The sequence below is a fragment of the Homo sapiens genome, chromosome 20 (genome assembly GCF_000001405.40).
Source record: "Homo sapiens chromosome 20, GRCh38.p14 Primary Assembly".
NCBI classification, from domain to species: domain Eukaryota; kingdom Metazoa; phylum Chordata; class Mammalia; order Primates; family Hominidae; genus Homo; species Homo sapiens.
In genome coordinates, this window is record NC_000020.11 from 56,485,925 (window position 1) to 56,504,438 (window position 18,514).

The 18,514-nt window shown below is 43.4% G+C and overlaps 1 protein-coding gene and 1 pseudogene across 7 annotated transcripts in view, besides 1 other annotated feature; one reads left to right on the forward strand and one right to left on the reverse strand.

The window, feature by feature from the left end:
• RTF2 (replication termination factor 2) overlaps positions 1–18,514 on the forward strand; it is a 50,823-nt gene that overhangs the window by 17,298 nt on the left and 15,011 nt on the right. The gene's annotated exons all lie outside the window — the stretch shown is intronic.
• GCNT7 (glucosaminyl (N-acetyl) transferase family member 7) overlaps positions 5,568–18,514 on the reverse strand; it is a 34,434-nt pseudogene continuing 21,487 nt past the window's right edge. The window contains exons 4-7 of the transcript NR_160308.1: positions 18,131–18,370; positions 10,715–11,744; positions 9,278–9,373; positions 5,568–5,859 (exon numbers count right to left, since the gene is read on the reverse strand). The product of NR_160308.1 is annotated as a glucosaminyl (N-acetyl) transferase family member 7, transcript variant 1, non-coding (transcript). The remainder of the gene's footprint in view (positions 5,860–9,277; positions 9,374–10,714; positions 11,745–18,130; positions 18,371–18,514) is intronic.
• Positions 14,796–14,996: a silencer, noted in NCBI's record as "peak4281 fragment used in MPRA reporter construct". NCBI's record gives its function as "represses an SCP1 promoter by STARR-seq MPRAs in K562 erythroleukemia cells {active_cell/tissue: K562}" and the evidence as "EXISTENCE:reporter gene assay evidence [ECO:0000049][PMID:32103011]".

The following is an 18,514-nucleotide window of genomic DNA, read 5'->3' on the forward strand; positions in this document are numbered from 1 at the left end:
GGCCAGAGAACTTTTTTTTGTCTACTGGTAAGAAATGGCTTTATAAAGGGAGGGGCATTTGTTCTGGGCCTCAAAGGAAGAGCATGGTTATTGGTTGCACTCCCGGGGATGGAGAGATTGCTGGTGGTAGCGGTGCTGCTCTGGGGAGGCGCACAGCCAGGTACTGGGTATCTCTGTAAGGCGTTGTCTGGCAGGACAGTGACGCCCATTTTGCTGTCCTTCAGACCTTCTGCTTGCTTTCAGGAGAAAGTCTCCCTTTAATCTTCGTACGTTTGTAACACTCTCTTAACTGCCTAAGAAAGTAGACTTTAAGCTCAGAGCTTTGGCAGGCAGGATCTAGCAAAACTGTTTGGTATTCTCTGCATTTTTATGGTAACTTGATATTTATGGCAAAGAGTACTGTTTCTCTATATTTAGCCTAGGAATATAAAGTTAACTGTTAGGTTGGGCACAGTGGCTCATGCCTGTAATCCCAGCACTTTGGGAGGCCAAGGCGGGTGGATCACCTGAGGTCAGGAGTTCAAGACCAGCCTGGCCAACATAGTAAAACCCTGTCTCTCCTAAAAATACAAAAATTAGCTGGGTGTGGTGGCACGCGCCTGTAATCCTGGCTGCTCGGGAGGCTGAGGCAGGAGAATTGCTTGAACCTGGGAGCTGGAGGTTACAGTGACCCAAGATTGTGCCACTGCATTCCAGCCTGGGTGACAGAGTGAGACTCCATCTCAAAAAAATAAATAAATAAATAAAAAATAAAGTTAGCAGTTAAAATTAAGCAGAAACAATGGGTAGATTTAAATAAAAATATTAAGATATTGACAGTACAGTTGGCAGGGGAATGGCTGAAGTTTGCAAAACACTGTTGTAAGTCCTGCTGGGACTGTGATTGGTTAGTGGGGGAAAGAAAGGCAGCAGCAGTGCTCATGGGGCAGAAGCAGCCGGGCAGCCATACTGAGATGAGTGGCAGGTGTGATCGAGGCCTGGTCCTGTCAGGACTGTGGGGTGGGGTACAGGAGCAGGGAGAGAGGCCGAGGTGTGAGTCGGACTGGATTGGGGAAACCTTCGAATGCCAGAAGGAGGAGCAGGAGTTCTAGTTCTTAAGAGTTCTCAGAATCATTTTAATGGGTCACCAGGTTTGGGGGACCTACTGATCTAAAGCAATCCAGTTTTTTCTTACGCCCATAATAGTACCCATCTGTTAGATGGGTGCACAGTTGTCCTTTGCGTTGGTTGGCCTAAAACAATCATACTAATAACCATGATGACACGTATGCAGTAAAACCTCACTGTCTGCCGAGCTTCACAGAGAAGCTGATTCTGTTGCATGGAAATACAGCGTTACAAGGGAACTCTGAGATTATATCGTTGGTGCTTGGGAAGTTTTACTGAAAGCTAGTAAGCTTTCAACAGTCTGTACCTTGCACTTCAAGAGAAGGGAAGGAAGCAGGAGGAAAGAGGAACAGAGCCACGTCAGGATTGCACAAGGGACAGTAGAGACCAGGTGACGAACAGGAGCGAGCGTAGGCTCCTCCCGGCTCCTCGTGGAGGCCACCTTGGCTGTTGCGACTTTCTGCAGTTATGACAGGGCACTGGTTGAAATTCAGGAATACCTCAGGAAATTGTCTTAAAGATACATCTGTTGCCAACAAAGAATGAACGAGATAATGAATTATTTTTACTTTTATACTGTACATCAGAGTTGCCTTTGCAGAACTGTGTTGAATACTCTGTGCTAGTTTGTTGGGGCTGCTGTAATTAAGTACCCAAGCCGGATGACTTACCGGAAAGTCATTGTCTTATAGTTCTGGAGACTAACGTCCAAAATCAAGGTGTCATCAGGGTTAGTTTCTTCTGAGGGAAGGATCTGGTCCAGGCCTCTCATTGGCTTCTAGACGGCCTTCGCCCTGTTCACATCATCTTCCCTCTATCATGTCTGTCTTTGTGTCCACATTTTCCCTTATTAGGACACCAGTCCCGGTACTGGATTAGGGCCCAACTTAATGGCCTCATCTTAACTAATTACATCTGCATTGACTGTGTTTCCCAATAAGGTCACATTTTGAGGTACTAGGGCTTGGACTTCAACATATGGATTTTGCAGGGGGGCATAATTCAACCCATAATACACAATTTAGAAAATAAAATCATAGAGCGTGGGGCCAGACATGGTGGCTCACGCCTGTAATCTCAACACTTTGGGAGGCTGAGGTGGTTGGATCACTTGAGGTCAGGAGTTCGAGAACAGCCTGGCCAACATAATGAAACCCCGTCTCTACTAAAAATACAAAAATTAGCTGGGCTTGGTGGTGCATGCCTGTAGTCCGAACTACTTAGGAGACTGAGGCAGGAGAATTGCTTGAACCTGGGAGGTGGAAGTTGCAGTGAGCCAAGATCACGCCACTGCACTCCAGCCTGGGCGACAGAGCTAGACTCTGTCTCAAAAAAAAAAAGTGCCAATGTAGAGTACTGGAGTTGTGATCCGTAGCATTGGACTTGCTACCTCTGTGGCTTCATTTATGTAGGCTTTGTAGATAGGTGAATGGGGTGTGTGGATGTTTTAAAGTTAGAAGTCAAAAATATATATACTCACACTGTCTACCTGCTTTTCATGGAGGGGGTGGAGTAGAAAGAGAAAAAGTTAAGTTAGGGAAAAGGAGTGTCGTCAGAAGTGGTCAGTGCAGCTGATTCTGGTTTTCAGGCTTTGGCCTTCTTCAGAGTATCTTAGGTTTCTGCCATCTTTATAGTCTTTGTGAATATTTAGCCTCAAGGAATCAGATAAGACACAGCATAGGCAGCCTTAAACTTTCACATGTTCATTTTGTTCTTTCACTCTACCCATCAACAGACTGAGGGTCTGATAAGGAGAGAGTGAGCCTAGGCTTCTTGTTCTCATGCTCACGGAAGCTGCTGCTTTCCCTTGGCCTCCCTGGCCTGTCGCAGCTGCCTGTCTCAGCCTCCCTGCCTCTCGGCCTCCCTGCCTCTCAAGCCTCCCTGCCTCTCGGCCTCCCCACCTCTCTGACTCTTGGCCTTGTTTTCCATTGCTGTCCCCACTCTCCACTGAAGCCCAGTCTCAGGCTTTTACATTCCACATGCATTTAGTGTACTTTTATTATTCTGCTTTATCCTGCTGTTACTGAAATGATTTTTTTTTTTAGATGGAGTCTTGCTCTGTTGCCCAGGCTGGGGTGCAGTGGTGCAATCTTGGCTCACTATAACCTCTGCCTCCCAGGTTCAAGTGATTCTCCTGCCTTAGCCACCCGAGTAGCTGGGACTACAGGCGCCCACCACCATGCCTGGTTATTTTTTTTTTTTTTTTGTATTTTTAGTAGAGGCAGGGTTTCACCATATTGGCCAGGCTGGTCTGAAACTCCTGACCTCGTGATCCACCCGCCTCAGCCTTCCAAAGTGCTGGGATTACAGGCATGAGCCACCACGCCTGGCCATACTGAAATGATTTGTTCAGGACATGTCTTCATTATAGCATTAAGCCTGTTGGGGGCAGGTGTTTGTTTCAATTTGTGCTTCTTTGTGTGACGTAAGGTCATGTAGCTACCTGGGACTCAGTAGTCACACTGCAGAGTGTAGCTGCCTGGTCCAAATCCCAGCCCCACTTTCCCAGCTGTGTGGTCCCAGGAACATCCCATCATCTCCCTGTGCCTCGATTTTCTCATCCGTTAAAAGTGTCAGCCATTCTTCTGAGCACTTCCCCACCCAGGAGCACCCATGTCCTCCTAACGGTGCTGGTGGGCGGATGCTTTTACAGGGCCCCCTTCACGGTATGTGACTGGGTGTACCACGGGTTGACATTGGAATGAAGTGAAGGCAGGCTTATGTTTTAAGTAACTTGAAAGATGTAATCTTTTTTATTGTTCCTTTAATGGGGTTTACATTCAGTTGCTATTGAGTTATAAAATACCGGGGACATAATCGTGGCTAATCTGAGCTTTCTGAATGAACAGCCTGTCAGCATGTAGCCAGCTATCGCCTTTGGGGGCGCCGTGTTTGCCTGTAGAAATGTGTGGGAAGGTGGTGGTGGGCTGTCATGGGGCTCTTGTGTTCTTTTTGAAAGTCTTAATATTTTCCATATGTGCTTTCCTTGGATTAGATATCCAAGGGGAAGAAAGATTTGTTTAAACAAAGGTGTTACTTTTCTGTGGTTCCTTGATGTTTGATTTGTGGGATCTGTCTTCCAAATCCCTTTTCCTTCTGTCTAGCAATGATGTTTTCCCAGGGCTATTTCACACAGTGACTTGACTTCATTTCTATGCGTGGGAAGCTTCCATTTACTGAGGTGCTTACACTTTGCGTTGGAATTATGTTTCTTTAATTTCCTCTCCTCTGGTTCCTGTGTTCCCATCTTTAAATCTCTTGTATGTTGTGCTGTTTAATTGTCACGCACTTCAGTTTCATATGATGCTGTATGAACTCTTTTAGAGAAGGAGGATATATATAAAGTTCTCCACAACAGCAGCGGCAGCAGCAAAGTCGTGGACTTTCTAAGGGAGGAGACCCAGATCTGTGAATAGAGATAATCATGGCCATTCATGTCTCAGATCTGTGCTGTTCAGCATGGTACAATTAGCCACATGTGCCTATTTAAAGGTAACTTAAGGCCGGGTGCGGTGGCTCACGCCTGTGATCCCAGCACTTTGGGAGGCCAAGGCAGGCGGATCACCTGAGGTCGGGAGTTCGAGATCAGCCTGACCAACATGGAGACACCGCGTCTCTAGTAAAAATACAAAAAAATTAGCCAGGCGTGGTGGTGCATGCCTGTAATTCCAGCTAGTCGGCAGGCTAAGGCAGGAGAATGGCTTGAACCTGGGAGGCAGAGATTGCGGTGAGCCGAGATCGTGCCATTGCACTCCAGCCTGGGCAACAAGAGTAAAACTCCGTCTCAAATAAATAAATAAATAAAGGTAACTTAATTTTTAAAAATTAAATAAAAATAAAGATTCACTTTTGTAGTCGCTCCAGCCATGTTTCCAATGCCCAGGAGCCCCTGTGGCTGTGGTGAGCAGTTAGACAGCTCAGCTGTGGAATGTCCACCATCACAGAAGGTGCTAGGAGACGACATGTCAAGACCGCAGACACTTGGGGCACCCTTTTTAACAAGCTGTGTTTTCTACTCCAGATGAGCTCTGTTTTACCCAGAGAAATACACTCTTCATTATTTTTCTAGGACCGCCAGAATAGGGTTACATTGCTTGCAGCCAATGAGGACTGTTTCAGATAAGCATATTTTCATTTTCACTGGGAGTCTGTTCTTTCTTAGTATCTCATACACAGTAGTATCTGGGTCTTCAAAACAGGCTGTGTCGTTCTTATTCCAGCTTGAGCCTGGATCCAGGTGTTTGGAGAATTTGGGTTTTCAGCAGCTTTTTACTGAAGCATTTGGCCTTCTAAGTGCATTGCTATATGTCACCAGTGGTAGCTTGAGTTTTTTTGTCTTGTGATTTCTTTCCCAAAGCTATAAAAGTGGCCTGTAATCAATAGTAAAGTCTTGTCAATAGCATGTTTCTGAATTCATTTTAGGAATAGTTTGTATCAAGGAATCATTTTCCCACTTCTTTGGTTCAATGTTCTCTTGTTTCAAGTCAAGGAAACAGAATGATACCAGTAAGAAAGCAAACACTCCCTAGCGGTTCAGTCTCATATTGAAATGACTCTGCTGTTGAAAATGCCAGTGTGGCTCTATAGGAACTTCTGCCTGCCTCAGCACTTGAAGTCTGTGCCGCCGCTCTAAGCAGGTAACCACAAGCGGGTCTGTCGAGGGTTCGAATTTGTTGGCAAACAGAGAAGGCGACTGAATGAGCCACGGCAGGTCTCCTGGTCCGTATACGCAGATGTCTTCGACGTAGCGGCCTGCAGAAAGAAACACAAAAACCTAGCTGCCTTTGTTTCCTCACCCATTTTATTCACACACAGAAAGTGGCGCATGCTCCGTCCGGTGTCAGTGGTGAGCCTCAGCTTCACCAGAGTTCACATCAAACAGCATTTCCATGATTGCCTTGACAGGGGCTTTTATGTTGAATTTTGAACTTACGGTGGAAAGGCGCACTTTCATTCTTTTAGTGATTTCTGAAATCTTTGTTAGTTACTGCTTTAGGTGAATACCATGGGATTTAACTCACCACGCGCACACGAGAGATAAGCTAGCGCTCATTTGCCTGCTAAAATCTCAGTTCCGATAGATTCTGAGTTCCATGAACTTCTAAGTCTTTTCATTGGTTGTAAGTAGTTCATAAGAATGGTATGGATTTTAAATAAGTCATTGCTTCTATATTTTTTGGGGACCCCAGACATGCACCACCATGCCCAGCTAATTTTTGTATTTTTTATAGAAACGGGATTTCGCCATGTTGGTCAGGCTGGTCTCAAACTCCAGGGCTCAAGTGATCTTCCCACCTCGGCCTCCCAAAGTGCTGGGATTACAGGTGTGAGCCACTGTGCCTGGCACTGCTTTTTATTTGTTTTTCAGAGTGAACATTTGATACAAACATTGAGGTGGGAATTACAGGCCAGGCACGGTGGCTCACACCTGTAATCCCAGCACTTTGGGAGGCCGAGGCGGGAGAATGACTTGAGCCCAGAAGTCTGAGACCAGCCTGGGCAATAGAGTGAGATCTCGTCTGTAATTTAAAAAAAAATTTTTTTTAAAGTGGGAATTAGAGTTGGAATCCAGTGGTGACTGGATTCCTTGGAGACTCAGTGACACTTTTTATGTGCTTTTGACAACCGTGTTTGGCTCTTTCTGCTCTTGCTTTTAATTCTCACAGTAACACTCTGAAGTGGATTCCATCATCATTCCCATTTTGCAAGGGAGGAAACAGATTAGCGAAGTGAGGCCTCAGCGTATGTGTGAGAGGGAAGGAGGTCTGTTTATTTCAGAAACGTTGCTCTTTCTCTGCCCAGCTCCTTCCTGCTCTCTTTCCTCACACCAGCCCAGTAATCCTACTTTTAAAAAAACGTATCTTGGCTGGGCGCAGTGGGTGACACCTGTAATCCCAGCACTTTGGGAGGCCGAGGCGGGTGGATCACGAGGGCAGGAGATCAAGACCATCCTGGCCAACATGGTGACACCTCGTCTCTACTAAAAATACAAAAATTAGCTGGGTGTGGTGGTGCGTGCCTGTAATCCCAGCCACTCAGGAGGCTGAGGCAGGAGAATCGCTTGAACCAGGGAGTCAGAGGTTGCAGTGAGCCGAGATTGCACCACTGCCCTCCAGCCTGGTGACAAAGCAAGACTCCATCTCCAAAAAAAACCTATCTTAAGGAAATACTGTTTTTAAAAGGGGCAGGGGGATGTATGCACAAAATGTCCAGTGTTGTTTCTAAGACTATGTAAGTGGCAGCTGTTACCATGATTTAACAAATTTTACCTGATAGACATATTTGCTACAATGTGCTAGAATCTCAGTAGAGTTACATTTAACTACTTTAATATTATAAGTATGGGCCAGATGCAGTGGTTCATGTCTGTAATCTCAGCACTTTGGGAGGCCAAAGTGGTAGGATCACTTCAGCCCAGGAGTTGAGGGCCAGCCTGGGCAGCATAGTGAGACCCCATATCTACAAAGATAAAAAATTAGCTGGGTTTGGTGGCTTACACCTGTATTCCCAGCTACTTGGGAGACTGAAGTGAGAAAATCACTTGAGCCCAGAAAGTGGAGGCTGCAGTGAGCTATGATCATACCACCTGCACTCCAGCCTGGGTGACAGAGCGAGACCCTGTCTCAAAAAAAAAAAAAAAAGACTACAAATATGAAGACTATCAGTGGGAGAAACTTAGGACATAAGTGAAAAGCAACTCAGCTACACCTTGATTATAATGATACAGCTGTGCCATTTAGACACAGATGAAGTTGAACTAGAAGGGAATACAAATAAATGGACCATTTTCAGAGCTGTGTTAATGATATTTGAGTGATTAAAAATAAACCCTTTGTTGCTGGTTCTAATGGGATAGCTGTTCTTCTGCATGCAGAGTCGGACTGGGAGCTTGCCCATTGTAGTGGTGGCAGGCGGTTGCTCCCAGTCTGAGCCCCAGCCCTGCCCCTCCTCCCTGTGCCTGTGGGAGTGACTTCACTTACCTGAGCCTTGGGTTCCACATCAGTAAAGGGTGAATAATGATTGTTTCTACCTGAGAATTGTTGTGAGGATTGAGTGCAGGCCCAAAGCTCGGACCCGGAAGATTTACCACCTCCCTACACACCAGGGCTTGGCCTACTTAGGGTGCTGACTCTGAATGCTGGCCATGGATGGCCACGCTACTGCCTAACTGTGAGTACCGTTTTCATACTGAAGCTAGTGATGTTAAGAACTTTCTGAAGTATTTACTTTTAGGGAATGAGGACTTTGTTAGGATTTATACTAACTAGGGTTTTTTTCAAACATTGTTGAAACATTCTGATTTCATTGAGAATTCTGAATCATTACTTTATTATTGATAGTATCAACCCTTTATGACTTCTTATACCATGTGCACACCTGAGGGGCTCCTGTTTTCAGGAAGAATCTGAGCCCCCTGCTTTTTCTGAGCATTTACTGACTAGTCCTGACAAACCCAAGTGTGTAATGACAGGGAGCCCCTGCTTTCTAAAGAAAGGGCAGAGCTCTTGTTAACCTGTTGTTTACCTGTCACCTTTCTACCATGTGAATGGATCCCTAATTGAATCATATCTGCTTTTGAAAAAACCCCTTCACTAGAAAATTGTTCCAGCTCTCTAACCTGGTCCCTCTGCTTCAGGAGGGTGGCTGTGCACATTGGCAGCAGGATTTACTTGTCTTTGAACTAGTCTGGTATTTGATTTACATTTTTTGTTTGTCTCCAATCTGTTTATTTTAGGCCAGTCTTTTAAACAGCTGAAAAACTGGGTAAACCTAGTTTATTTTTAATATCTAGTCTACTGTATTCAAACCCAAGGTCTCTACCCAAAATCACTGTTAAAATCAGTTATTGTATCTCTGTGCAGTAGTTCCTGCCACTGGGTAGGAAGCTGTGTGGAGACATATGGCAGGGCCTAGCTGTTGGTGCAGAGGGTATATTTACTTTGGGAAATTTTATCAACCTGTATTTTTTGTGATTTGTGTACTTTTCTGTATGAATCTTATATAAAAAGTTTTTTTAAAAAATTGACTCAACCTATACTAATTGGATCATCACTAATTCCAGATTACTTTAAACATGATCCTCCGTCTTGCCCACTAGGATTGAGGCAGCAGTTTTATAGTTGTTGTAAAATTTGAAGCCTTTTTTGTTTTGTTTTGTTTTTCTTTTTACCTTTACATCCATCATGAACATTTCCTTCCTCACTTTTCCGCTTAATGGCTCGAACATTTCCTTCCCAGCCAGCGTTTGGTGTAGCACCTGGAGCATCTAAGAGGAAAACAAAACCAGCATTCAGTGTGGAATCTGCTTCCCAGTTCTTTTAGTACAAGTTCTTCTGTGCTATCATTTCCATTTCCTCTAGATGAGGTAGTCAATGAGAAAAGTAGAGGGGAAAGTCCAACCTTCCTTGAGATGTTTCACTTGTAACATCGGATCAAAGGCTAGTGCTTTTGGGGGTGGGAGCATGTACTACGCTGGCAGTAGCATCCAGGTGGACCAAGGTTGGGGATCCCCATCTTTGTACTTGGGTTTCATTTTTCAGCCCTTTCTCCACCCCTTGTTACTCCCTTGCTGTATGCAGAGTACTCTTTGTGATTCTCTTGGGGTTCTTTGGATTGTTTTCTCTGTAACAGCCCTCGGAGATTATTTGAAAATCAAACTTGCAGTGGACATGAAATTATATTAAAAAAACCCCAACCAATGTCTACTGGACTCATCGTACACCACTGTCTAGGCTGATTAGCTTAGTTGTTCAGGCTTGAAGCCACACTCCCTATAGAAGCCAGTCCACCTTTTACAAAGAGAAAATACTGAAGTCCACTTAAGGATGGTATCTGATTTCCCTCTACCTCTCAGAGAACCCATCTGAAGTATCAGATTTGCCACAAAATCATTACTAGCTTTAACATTTTCCATCTTACAGAGAGCCCTTAGCACAATGCCTGACACCAGTAGGTATCCAGTAGTATTTATAAAATAAATGAAGAACTTTCTAAAGATTTATACTCAGAATTTTCCAAAGTCTCAGGAGATGCAAAATGCCAGTACTTCTTTCTAGAGAGGGAACAAAAGCAGCCAGACTGGTTTGGGAACATCTTTCAGCTAACTTCAGACCCCTAAAATCAGAGAACTTCCTGTTTCCCTAAGTGGAAGGTCTTGCAAAATGTAGAACATTTACAAGGCCAAAGAAACATAGCTGAATTGAAAAAATGTTCAATTTTTTCAATAAATCTTATGGCCGGGCGTGGTGGCTCACACCTGTAATCCCAGCACTTTGGGAGGCCGAGGCAGGCGGATCACCTGAGATCGGGAGTTCCAGACCAGCCTGACGAACATAGACAAACACTGTCTCTACTAAAAATACAAAAATTAGCTGGGCATGGTGGTGGGCGCCTGTAATCCCAGCTACTGGGGAGGCTGAGGTGGGAGAATCGCGTGAACCCGGGAGGTGGAGCTTGCAGTGAGCCGAGATCGCGCCACTGCACTCCAGCCTCGGTGACCGTGTGAGACTCCGTCTCAAAATCAGTCAGTCAATCAATCAATCAATCAATCTATCTGCTGCTGTTGCTGCTGACTGCACAGGCATCCATATCGGTGGGTCTTTCTTACCTTTTAGTCGGTTCAGGGTCACCCAGTAGTGTTGCTCTGGGCTGCGGATGTCTTTGGACCACTGAAGCATGTCTTTTGCATGGATGTCAGTCAGTATGAACTCTACAAACTTCCTTGTAAGTACATAGTAAGCACTTCCAAAATAAATGGTTAAGTTATGGGGTGGTTTGTCTTTGAATCTGTTATTTGGAGGTGCATAGATACTTCCTTTAGGAACGAATTCGAGATGACTTTGACTTGTCTTGGATTTAATGTGCAATGGTTGGATTACTCCAGGAGTAATATTTTTATCACTCCATTTGCTTCTGATGTAGTGTATGATTTCTCTGTTGGTTTTGATGGGAAAATCCTGTCCACAAAGATTGATGACATAGTTCCATTGAAATTTAGAATGCACTAGAACTTTCATACAATTAATATCTGCCTGTAGTCTTGTAAAGCCAGCATAAGCCACCTTCTCTGTCTTGGAGGAAATAAAAACGTTTTCAAAACAGTTAACCAAGGTTTGCACAGCAGTCTTATACTTCATTGGGGCCTTTTCATCAACATGAATACAATAAACATTTTGAGGTACATAAATAGCTCTGAGAAGCTGCACAAACATGGCCAGCTCCTTATGAATAGTTATAATATATGCCAAAGAGAAATCGCCCTCTTCTGCAGACAGGGGTCTGGTTATGAAATGCAGCCCCCGAGAAATCCTGGAGCAGTTTCCTGGTGTGTGTAAATGAGCATGTATTTCAGATTTATGAGGGGTTTTGCAAAATTTTGCAATTTAGGGGGCCGCCCCTTTCCCTTCAAATAAAGCGGAACACAGTTCATCTGGGTAAAAGCCACATTCTACTACTTCTGGTTGGGCAGGTTCTTCTTCTGATTCTGCAGGAGTTGGATTCCTTAAGTAAAGAAAAATGAAGATGCAAATGACTGCCCTCACGACAAGTCCAGACTTTGTGGCTCGAAGCTGGCTCATATCTTGAGCTCCAGGTGCATTCTTATTACCATAATTTAAGTATTTTTTCCTTTAAGCTTCCTAAAAGAACAACAGATACAATTTAGGGTGTTGTAATTCTCCCCCCCAACTTTATTGAAATACACTAAACTACATATACACACCCATGAAACTGTCATTGCAATCAAGATAACAAGCATTTCCCTCACTCTTCAAAGTGTTCTTATGCTCCTTTTTATCCTCTTTCTTTCCATCCACATCTCTGGCAATTGCCGATACGCCTTCTGTCACTCTAGTTTGTCAGTGTGTAACTCTTTAAGAAACTGCCAAACTGTTTTCCACAGTGGTTGTACCAGCAATGTATGATAGCCATTTATTATATAGCCTCTGGCATACTTGCTGTGGTCAGATGTTTTAATTTTTACCTTTTAATGAGTGTGTAATGTTAGTTCCCTGTAGTTTTACTTTGCATTTCCCTAATGACTAATGATGTTGAGCATATTTTCATGTTATTGCCCTTATTAGGGAGATGAAAAATCTCAAATACTTACTTTGGACATAGACACCGTCCTGTTCTGCCTTATTCAAAGTTCATTGTGTGCCATTATTCTGCATATAAGACTAATCTTTCCAACAGAAGAAGTGACAAATTAAGAGGAATTTGATGATTATACACTTAAACCTGTTGAAGTGAGTTTCTGGGCCAGGCATAGTGGCTCATGCCTGTGATCTCAGCACTTTGGGAGGCCAAGGCAGAGGATCACTTGAGCCCAGGTGTTCAAGACTAGCCTGGGCAACATAGTAAGACTGTATCTCTATAAAAAACTTAAAAATTAGCCACATGTGGTGGTGCCCTGATTATCCCGTTGCACTCCAGCCTGGGTGACAGAGTGAGACCGTGTCTCCCAAAAAAAAAAAAAAGTTTCTGAATTATTTTTAGGAAAGATGTCATAGATTAAAAACAAGGTATCTTTATCTAATAACATTATTTGATAATCATGTAGTTGTTTGTCTTGAGTCTACAGAGGTACATGAATAGGTGTAGCAATAGCAAAAAGTGACCAAAAGGTTTCAGTTAATTAATTATTACACGCAAGGATCATTCTCTGGAATTTAGGGAAGAAGATTGATAGGTAACATGTCAAGCTTTATATTGTTAGAAAGTATTTGTTTTTCTTGTTTATGAATCTTGACTTGGTTTCCATTAAAAGTTGCATGTTATTCCTACTTCCTGTTTTTCAGAAGACCATGTACGTGTGACTGGTATTTGAGCTCAGGTTGGACACTGGTCCCTTGCCTTTCCACATCATTTTTACAAATGCTGTTTGGATAATGCCTCAAACAGGCAGCATTTTTAGTTATCCTTGTGTTCTTAAACTCTGAGCCAACAAAAACTGTTAACATTGACTGTGGATTTTAAAGATGTTGTATTTATTTTCATCGTACAGTTTATTTCTACCCATCATGCTTCCAAAATAAATAGCAGCCACTGCCGAGGTATGTCAGGCCGCAGTGTGTTCCACTGGTTCAGTAAATGGTTTCTGCCCCAAACATGGAACCTTACAGCCTAATTTAAAGACATTCTTATAAATTATGTAATACTTATCTTTTTTTTTTTTTTTTTTTTGAGACGGAGTCTTGCTCTGTAACTCAGGCTGGAGTGCAATGGTGCGATCTCGGCTCACCACAATCTCCGCCTCCCGGGTTCAAGCGATTCTCCTGCCTCAGCCTCCCAGGTGCATGCCACCATGCCCGGCTAATTTTTGTATTTTTTTAGTAGAGACAGGGTTTCACCATAATGGCCAGGCTGGTCTCAAACTCCTGACCTCGTGATCCACCCGCCTAGGCCTCCCAAAGTGCTGGGATTACAGGCGTGAGCCACCACGCCTGGCAATACTTATGTTTATAAACATGAAACCATCATAATTTATACATTTTATATGAGATTTCTAAATTAAATTAAACCTGACCATAGAAATTGAATAGGAAAGAAAAATGTTCTTGAAATGAAAGTAAAGCTTTTTACTACTTCTCCTATAAGAATTTTGATTAAAGATAAACCAGATACCATAGTTTGTCATATCTTCCCCTGTATTATGACTTTAGTATAGGAAGAAGGGTTTGGGTTTTGTTTTTTTTTTTCTGTTGTCCTTTTATTTTGTTTTTTGAGACAGGGTCTCACTCTGTCACCCAGGCTGGAGTGAAGTGGCGCAGTCTCAGCTCACTGCAACCTCTGCCTCCCCGGTTGAAGCGATTCTCCTGCCTCAGCCTCCTGAGTAGCTGGGATTACAGGCATGTGCCACCACGCTAGCTAATTTCTGTATTTTTAGTAGAGATGGGATTTCACCATGTTGGCCAGGCTGGTCTTGAACTCCTGACCTCATGTGATCCACCCTCCTTGGCCTCTCAAAGTGCTGGGAATTTTTAGGTGTGAACCACTGCGCCCGGCCTATTTGTTTTTTTGGTTTTCTGTTGTTTTTTTTTTAGGAGGAGTTTCGCTCTTGTTGTCAAGGCTGGAGTGCAATGGCGTGATCTTGGCTCACTGCAACCTCCACCTCCTGGGTTCGAGCGATTCTCTGGCCTCAGCCTCCCAAGTAGCTGGGATTACAGGCATGCACCACCACACTCAGCTAATTTTGTATTTTTGGTAGAGATGGGGTTTCACCATGTTGGTCAGCCTGGTCTCGAACTCCTGACCTCAGGTGATCCACCTGCCTCAGCCTCCCAAAGTGTTGGGATTACAGGCGTGAGCCACCTCGCCCAGCTAGTTTGTTGTTTTTAAGATAACTTGTGAAAGCGTTCTGTTCCTCCTGTCACAGAAGTGAGTTAGCCCCTCATCACTGCCAAATGATACCCCATGTAAATTTGGCTGTGCGCCGAGCCCAGGAGATTGGGTATTTTCAGTAGTTTATAATAATTAAATGAAGAGAGGCCCCAAGGGTAGCCATTGTCCTTTGGGAAAATACCCAGGCTAAGAGTTTTTCCCTCCCCTGTATAGAGACAGGGACATGGCCAGTTCAGTGTTAACCTGCTGTGGCCTTCTACCTTGGTTCCATCAGCACCAGCTTTCACTGTGGCCCAGTTAAATCTTCCCTCTGGCTTAGATTCACTGTGAAACTTCAGAATGGATGCCTGCTGGACTGCCCTGCTGAGTGGGAACCAAGGTCCCCAGCAGTTTAGTTTGTCATTGTTTCAACATAAACTTTTTTTTGAGACAAGGCCTCACTCTTATCACTCAGGCTGGAGTGCAGTGGTGTGATCATGGCTCACTGCTGCCTCAACCTCCTGGGATTTGGTGATCCTCCCACTTCAGCCTCCCCAGCAGCTGGGACTACAGGCATCTGGCTGATTTTTTGTAGAGACAAGGTTTTGCCACACAAGCTTTTTTTTTTAAAAAAAATCTTTTAAAAATTGATACATAATAATTATATATGTTTATGGATCACAGAGTAATGTTTCAATACACACAATGTATCAGCACAAGCTTTTTAAGGCAGTCAGGCCCTCTATTGTAAATGTAGCCTTTGGAGATCTCACTGCTGTTGCTGTCACTTGAACATAACATCTAGTGGGTAATATGAAAATTCCTGGAGGAATAAACTTTTCATGGCCTGACTTTTTTTTTTTCCTTTTAAGATAATGGTGAACATTATTTTCAGTTTTGCAAACATTTCCTAGCAATTCTTAGTTTTTGTTGTGGCTGTTTTATTTCTATATTGTGAAGTCAGCTATTTTAATGAAAAAATAATGAAGGTTTAGTTACTAAACATGAGATTTTCTGTCACTAAATTAATTTCCAGTAAATGTAGGTGCTATTTTGTAAGTGCGGGGAATATGCCTCTCATAAAAAAGTGTTCTTACTGAGTTTTTGAACCATTTTTTCCTCCATAGAAAGATGTTTAAGATACTTCTTGTAAAGGCTGTAGAAAGAGTGGCTGTTACCCTGTGTATTATGTATGGAGTAGGTATGCAAGTTCTTTGTCTGGAACAGACCTATTTTTAACATTCCAGTGTCCTATTTTCCTTGTGTATTACTAGATCACAAACAGTTTCTAAAATTTGGGGGTTAGCCTGGGCGATGTAGTGAGACCCCTTCTCTACCAAAAAATAAAAAAATAATTAGCCAAGTATTAGGGGTCCCAAAATTAGCCAAACCTGTGGTCTCAGCTACTCAGGAGGCTGAGGTGGGAGGATCATTTGAGCCAGGGAGGTTGAGGCTGTAGTGAGCCGTGATCATGCCCACTGCACTCCAGCCTGGGCAACAGAGTGAGTGAGACCCTATCTCCAAAATAAAATAAATTTGGGGGTTTGTGTGTGAGAGCATTTCAAGGCTTTTTTCGTGCACTGTCTTTCCTTAAATTGTCTTTCCTAGACCTGGTATATTTTAATAATCTTTTAGCCCTCCATATCTGCAGCCTTTGAAAGGTAGCATTGTTAAATATGTATATAGTGTACAGTGGAACAAAACAGCTTCCAAGCCATGAATAATGTTAAAAGTTAACCATTCAGTTGACTGAAGCCATCTAGCATCCAAGAGATACAGTAGAGTATCTTTCAGTGGAAATCATTGTCAAACTTATGGTCAAGGATGGTGGTTAACTTTTTTCCCGTTTATGTAGTGCCAGAATCTGCACAAGAACAGGAATGATTTCCAGTTATAATTCTCAGAGTGGAATTATTTTACATTTTATGTTTTTGTCCAGGGTTAAAGTACTTCCAGGGAGTTGTTTCAAAACACATTGCTCTTCTAATTAGAGCCAGTGCCTGTGTTCTTTTTTTCTTGTAATTCTTCTACAGTCTTCCTCTCCCGACTCCCAACAAGCCTTCACAGCCAGTAGCAAAAGTCAGCAATATGGGTTTGATATCGCATTACCTCCAGAACAGTTCGTTGAAGGATATAGTCTTTGAGAATTTGTTAGGATGGGATTTCATTTGTGGTAAAGACTTTTTAGGGTGAGTTGGCAGCATCCCATATATACTCTTTCGTTGCATTTTTTATATGTATATATTTTAAAGGAAATTCCTATGAGTAAATAGATAATGGATGGGAACCTTTAAAGGTGAACCCGAAGTATTTTGCCATATATTCTAGCATATTACCATTTTAAAGCATTAACATTAATTTAACCAGCATAAGCAGTTGATTTAGCACCCAAAGTTTCTGAGAGCTTTACTTTTCAAAAAGGGTGGGGGTTGAGGGAGGCTCAATATTGCATTTACCTTATTAGGAACCTCATATTTAGCTTCAGGAAATGGGCTTTGAATCAGGGCCCCAGTGTTAGGCTCACAGCCCTAGCACTTACGAGTCTGTTGGGCAAGTGACGGAAGCTCCTGAGTGTCCATTTTCTTGACTGCGGATGTGGTGTATGGTAGTGTCTGCCTCACAGGGACACTGGGAGGAGGTGTGGGAGTGAAGGATGTGAGTTTCACACTGAGCCTGGCCCTAGGAGGTGCCCTGTGCTCACTGGCACTCACCCTCGGGGTAATGCGGCCCCAAAACTGTAACTGCAGGTGCTGTCTTCACTTGTCCTAAAGTCTCTGTAGCCACACATTGAAAATGTGGTGTCTCTTTCTCTCTGAGCTCAGAATGCTGTCCAAAGCAGCCTCAATGTTAGCACAATGTTTTCTTGAGTTACTTGAGATGAGTTGGACAAATTTTGAATTCAAAAGCTGTCTAACTGTCCAGTGAAATGGATGCCTTTCACAAAATGCCTATTCCTAAAACATGTATAAATTATTTTAGCCATTTTGATGGAAAGAAGAAAACTTTATTTTAGGATATCCACTCAAAACAACGACAAGAAATAAAACATTCTAGTTTACAAAATGAGAGCTGAGGATTTGCACGTGGCCTTGAATCTGCCTCTCATGTGAGGGGTTAACAAATGGTAGCATTTTATATTTAAAAATCTAGTTGATGCCATACTGGGAAAATATTCTACTTTTATTTTCTTTGGCTTAAACAAAAAGTGGGGGCTATTTTTGAGAGAAAAAGACACCTGCAACACCGACATTTCAAATATTACTCATATTCTAATATTTTAAAACCACAGAGCAAAGAAAAACATAATTTACTTCAAAAAGTATACCTGTGGCCAGGTGTGGTGGCTCACACCTGTAATCCTAGCACTTTGAGAGGCTGAGGTGGGTGGATCACTTGAGGTCAGGAGTTTGAGACCAGTCTGGCCCAACCCAACATGGTGAAACACTGTCTCTACCAACAATAAAAAATTAGCTGGGCATAGTGATGTGTGCCTGTAATCCCAGCTACTCTGGAGCCTGAGGCAGGAGAATCGCTTGAAATCAGGAGGCAGAGGTTGCAGTGAGCTGAGATTGCACTGCCACACTCCAGCCTGGGTGACAAAGTGAGACCCTGACACACACACACACGCACACACACGCACATGCACATATACCTGCTTAACCTTTGCCATTGGTGGGTCCTGCATAGCTATTGAGACGCTTACCAGGAGAAGCCCCCTGGTTCCTGGAGGGGGAGTCCTGGCGGTGTCAGGGCCCAGCCTGGCCTTTCTCTCCCATCGGTTCCTCCCCGGCAGCGGCGCCTGCTTCAGTCACTTGAGTAGAGTTGCTTGGCAGGTTTTGTTGCCATCTGTCCCTGGAGAGTTTTATTCCTGTTGGTTCTGACCTGCAGATTGAAAAGTTGCTGCTTTTGCTTCTCTGAGTATTTCCTTGGGACCAGATCCTTCCTGAAAAACAAAATGAGACAACAGAAGACGCCTGACCCAGATGAAGGGCGCACAGTCACTCACATTGAGAAAACTGCAGGATGAAATCGTGGCATTCATGGGTCAGCGTCTTGAAATTATTTTAAATACAGGAGGCATGATTTA